Source organism: Homo sapiens, chromosome X, assembly GCF_000001405.40.
Source record: "Homo sapiens chromosome X, GRCh38.p14 Primary Assembly".
Classification (NCBI taxonomy): domain Eukaryota; kingdom Metazoa; phylum Chordata; class Mammalia; order Primates; family Hominidae; genus Homo; species Homo sapiens.
In genome coordinates, this window is record NC_000023.11 from 37,500,536 (window position 1) to 37,506,388 (window position 5,853).

The 5,853-nt window shown below is 44.7% G+C and overlaps 1 pseudogene; it reads left to right on the forward strand.

The window, feature by feature from the left end:
* FTH1P27 (ferritin heavy chain 1 pseudogene 27) lies at positions 4,732-5,500 on the forward strand (annotated as a pseudogene).

The following is a 5,853-nucleotide window of genomic DNA, read 5'->3' on the forward strand; positions in this document are numbered from 1 at the left end:
TTCCACAGAGCGGATAATTTATGAAAACCAGAAATGTATTTCCTATATTTGTAGAGGCTGGGAAGGCCAAGATCAAGACTCCAGAATTAGGCATCTAGCAAGGGTCTTCTTGCTGTGTCCTCTCATGGCAGAAGGAGCAAAAAATGATAAAAGGGATGAACTCTATGTCGTCACATAGCAGAAAGATGGAAGAGTCAAAGGATTAGTTTCCTCCAGTGCTTTTTAAAGGTCACTAGTACCAGTGATGACGAATCTACCCTCACGACTTAGTAACATCCTAAAGGCCTCATCTCTTAATACTACTACATTGGCCATTAAGTTTCAACAGATACATTTTGGAGGGCATTTAGATAATAGCAGATGGGCTGAGGGAAAAGATGATTTCTAGAATTGCCACTTAATAATGTTAAACATGTCCAGTTTTCAACAAAAGAATATAAATCATATCAGGAAACAAAAAGTATTGCCCATACATGAGAAAGAAGAAATCAACAGAAACTGTCTCAGAGGAAATCCGGTCAGTGGATTTACTAAGCAAATATTTTAAATCAACTCTTTGAAATATTAAAGAACATCATTTAGAAAGAAGAAAAGAAAACCAGGAGAATGATGTCTCATCAAATACATAATACCAATAAGAAAATAGAAATGATATAAAAGGAACAAAATAGAAATTCTGGAATGGAAAAGGATAACAATTGGAATGAAAATTTCAGTAGAGGGAGTCAATAGCAAATTTGAATAAGAAGTAGAGAGAATCATCAATCTCCAAGAAAGGTCAGTTGAGATTATCTAGTCTGAGAATCTGGAAGAAAAAAAAAGAATGAAGTAAAATTAACGAAGCTCAGAGTACTTGTGGAAACCATCCAGTGTACCAAAACATACATAAAGGGAGTTCTGGAAAGAGATAAAAAGGGGAATATGAAGGGATATAAAGAATATTTGAGGAAAGAACAGTCAATATCTTATCAAATATGATGAAATATGTTGATTTACACATCCAATAGATTCCATGTAGGGAAAAATCAGAGATATCCCCACCAAGACACTATAAACAAAAGGTAAAAAAGACAAGACAATGAAAACATCCTGAAAGCGGCAAAATAGAAGTTATACTTCACATACACAGGATGATCAATAATATTAACAGCTGATTTCTCAACAGAAAGTATGGAGGCTGTATTAGTCTGTTTTCATTGCTATAAAGGGATATCAGAGGCTGGGTAATTTATTTAAAAAGATGTTTAATTGGCTGATGGTTCTGCAGACTGGACAAGGATGGTACTGGCATCTGTTTGGCTTCCAGAGAGGCCTCAGGGACCTTTAGCTCATGGCAGAAGACAAACTGGAAGTAGGCAGGTCATATGGCCAGAAAAGGTGCAAGAGAGGTTTGGGGGAGGCATCACACTTTACAACAATGAGATCTCATGAGAACTCACTCACTATTGCAAGGACAGCAGCAAGCCATGAGGGATCCACCCCCATGACCAAAACACCCCCCACCAGGTCCCACATTGTACCTCTGGGAATTATAATTCAACATGAGATTTGGTGGGGACATATATTTAAGCTATATCATTCTGCCCCTGGCCCCTCAAATTTTATTTTCTTCTTACATTGCAAAATACAATCATAACTTCCCAACAGGCTCCCAAAGTCTTAACTCCTTCCAGCTGATATCAACTCAATTAAAAGTCCCAAATGAAAGTCCAAAATCTTATTTGAGACTCATCTCCTTCCTCCTATGAGCTTGCAAAATCAAAACAAGTTATTTACTTCCAAGATATAATGATGGTATAAGCATTGTGTAAGCACTCCCATTCCAAAATGGAGAAATCGGCCAAAGGAAAGGGCCTACAGGCCCCATGCAAGTTCAAAACCCAGCAGGGAACTCATTAAATCTTAGAGCTTCAAAATAGTCTCCTTACACTATATATTGTGCATCCAGGGCACAGTGGTGCAGGGGATGGGCTCCTATGGCCTTTGGCAGCTCCACACCTGTGGCTTTGCAGGATTCAGGACCCATGGTTGCTTTCACAGCTTGTTATGTGCCTGTGGCTTTTCCAGGCACAAGGTTCAAGCTGCCTGTGGCTCTACCATTCTGGGGTCTGGAAGATGGTGTGCCCTTTCCATAGATCAACTAGGTGGTGCCCCAGTGGGAACTCTGTGCATGGGCTCCTATGTCACATCTCCCCTCCGCACTGCCGTGCCACTGCAGCAGACTTCTGCCTGGACACTCAGGCTTTTCCATTCATCCTCTGAAATCTAAGTGGAGGCTGCCAAGCGTCCTTCAGTCTTGCACTCTGCACACCTGCATGCTTAATGCCACGTGGAAGTCACCAAGGCTTTGACTTGCACCCTCTGAAGTAGCATCTGGGGCTGTGTCTGGGGTCATCTGAGCTGAGGCTGGAGCTGGAGCAGCCTGGATGCAGGGAGCAGTGTCCTGAGGCTGCACAGGTTACTGGGGCACAGGTTAGTGAGATTTTGCAGGGACATATATTCAAACTATACCAGAGGCCTAGAGGTAGGAAGATGACATATTCAATGTGCTGAAAGAAAAATACTGCTGATGAAGAATTCTACATTCCACAATGTATCCTTCAAAGAAATCAAAAAATAAGTCATCCCAAGATAAACAAATTTCAACAGTGATTCTCACTAGTACACTTGCTCTGCAGGAAATGCTAAAGGGACTTTACTGCTGAAAAATAAACTGACAAATTAGGAATTTCATAGGGTTCAAACTTAATATATCCATAAACTTCATGTAGAAAAAAAAGTATCAAATACTTAAGTATAATGACTAAATAGTGTTGCCAATCATGATATTTCTAGAAAGTATGCCATAGGATACCCATTTCATGAAAAATAAAGAGCTGAACTTTTTATGGTACATTTTTCACAAATCCATAACCATTAGGAAGCACTCCTTTATACAGGACTTGTACTCTTGGAACAGCAATAGGAATCTCCGAAGAACCAGTACTCCTGGGATCAATTTATGGCTAGATTAGTTTCGCAAGTCACCTTCTTCATATTTACAAAGGCAATCTTCAAGTTCTTTTTGTTTTTCCTTAACAAATCAAACATAAAAGCAACTTGAAAAAGTACTTTAGTAGTTCCATGTTGTCTTGTATGTAACTCTGCCATTTTATTTTTCTAATCAAAATGGAAGAAAGCATAACTTGTGCTCTTCTGCTGAATGCAGTGCTTTGCTCTTTAAAGCTGTGTCTCACATAACTGCTAGTTGACATAAAGCATTCTCTCAACAAAAACCATTTACTCAGAATAAAATACAGACACTCTTTCTTTCTTTTCCTCTTCTTCTTGTGTGTGTTTTTTTTTTTGAGGGGACATTGTCCATATGTTATTCAAAGTTCCAGGCTCCTTCTCCAAAGTGGATATGTCATATTGTAGGGTCTGTTCCTCTTCTTGAGACATGGATTGCACACGGTGTGTCCTATAAACTAGGCCTTATTTGGCCATACACCAGTTATTTTCATATTCCAATAGCCAGAAATCAGTACAAGACCCCATCAAATCACAAGGGTAGCTAAAAAAATATGGTTACTTGTGGACCAAGATGAAAACAAATAAGCTTTGATGAAGTCACTCTGCCACAGCGAGTTTCTCTAATTGGAAGATTTGAAAAGTACTAGCAAGTTCATTTTGCTACAGACGTAAGCTTGCTCTTCAGTGAGCTGAGTCCCATGTCTACTAATTGGTTTCAAATTCAGCAGGGAAGACACGGGGATTAGTTATTGAGTCCCCAAAACCGTGAACATAGAGGACTTTTCCAGGTAAATTTTAAAAACAGAGTCTTTACTCTGGTGTTTAAGCTTTGATCCTGAAAACATATCTGAAATCACATTCCTTGTCATGTGGAGACATCTCTCCTGCAGAAAGAATTAAGCTTCCGGGTGCAGCAGACATGGGTGAGCATTTAAAGGGAAGCTGACATCTACCTAGAAGACAGATCCACTAACATATTCCAGTGCCAGAGAAATGCCATGCTTTGGGCATTTAGAATAGTTCCTACTCTGCCTGGGAGCTCTATACCTTTATCTCCAAAGGAGATGAGCACTCCCTAATTGACACACTCCACCCTCCTGTTCATGGGAGAATCCTATTGGTCACCCAGACTCACAGCTGTGCATTCGATCCATGCTCATCACCGAGGCTAACCCAGTCCTTGATTCCAATCATGAATGGACAAACGTTTTCCAGATATTTAAGGAAAGTGAGGAAGATGCACAAATAGAACTAATTCTGGAGGAGGGAAAAAGAGGATATAATACAGGAAACAGAAAAAAACGTTACCAGAACATACTCTCAGAGTTTAAGAAAGACAAGAGGTTTATAAAATGAGAACAAGCTGTCATAGAGGGGAATAATCAGGGGGCAGACGAAAAAGTCCTTGGACACTAGAAAAGTTACTGCAGAATTGACATCACGCAGTGGACTGACAGTGCCTAGTTCCCTGGGCTGCCCACGGAACTCAGTGTGCCCCCCCTCGCCACCACCACCATCCACCCGACGGCGCGCGCCCCTCCACCCATACGGGTCCCCACAGCCCACTTCCGGTCCCTTCGCAGACCCTGTGGCAACCACCACCGCCTGGTCCCGAGGACCCTGCCCTCCACTGGTCGCCTCCGTCGTCCACCATGTTGTGCTCAGAGGCACCCGCCGCGGCCGCCACTGCCGATGCCGATGCCGCCGCCCGCTTCGGGACCCTAGCGACCACACCGCTTTACCCTGCCTGCTCCTCGCGCCCGCACTGCCCGCCCTGGGCCCGCTGTCGCAGGTGCACCAGAACAACCATCTCAGCTGCGAGGTCGCCATCAACATCAAGGTCACCCTGGAGCTCCACGCCTCCTATGTGTACCTGTCCATGGCCTTCTTCTTCGACCGGGACGACGTGGCCCTGGAGAGCTTCAGCCGCTATTTCTTGCACCAGTGGCACGAGAAGAGGGAGCACGCCCAGGAGCTGATGAGCCTGCAGAACCTGCGCGGTGGCCGCATCTACCTTCGCGACATCAGGAAGCCAGAGTGCCAAGGCTGGGAGAGCGGGCTCCAGGCCATGGACTGCGCCTTCTACCTGGAGAAGAACGTCAACCAGAGCCTCCTGGAGCTGCACCAGCTGGCCAAGGAGAACGACGACCCCACCTCTGTGACTTCCTGGAGAACCACTTCCTGAACCAGCAGGCCAAGACCATCAAAGAGATTGGTGGCTACCTGAGCAACCTGTGCAAGATGGGGGCCCCGGAAGCAGGCCTGGCAGAGTACCTCTTTAACAAGCTCACCCTGGGCCGCAGCCAGAAACACACCAGAGCCCAGACAGGTCCCGCAGCCACGGGGTGCCTTCCCCTGCTCGCGCCACCACGCGGGGCGTCCATGTTGTCCTTTCAGAACATTCTCTTCAGTTTTCTCCTCTCAGTTTTACTGTTGTTGGCAATAAAGTTATCTGTTCTCAAAGCAATAAAGGTGTCCAGCTGATGCATATCTGCAACACTCTCACCTTTTAGGAATCAGGGCACATCCCCATGCAGGTTTAAAGTAGGTATCCAGCAGTCTTTCCATTCAGCCCTGCCCCATCTGCATGCAGCTCAGGATCTGCGGGGGTGGAGGGGAAAGGTATTTTATGGGCCGCTGGAAAATACATTAGTCTTCCCCTTATAAACTTTGAGGGCATGTGGGATTGGATGGGGTGAGGTGGGGTGGGGTAGGGTGGGGTGAGGTGTGGGGTGGGTGAGGTCGGGTGGGGTGTGCAGTCTTGGGCCATGGTATCTGTGGGTGCGTAAACATGGTAAGGTGTAAAGCATGGTATGGAATTCATCCTAGTGGTTGCCGGGT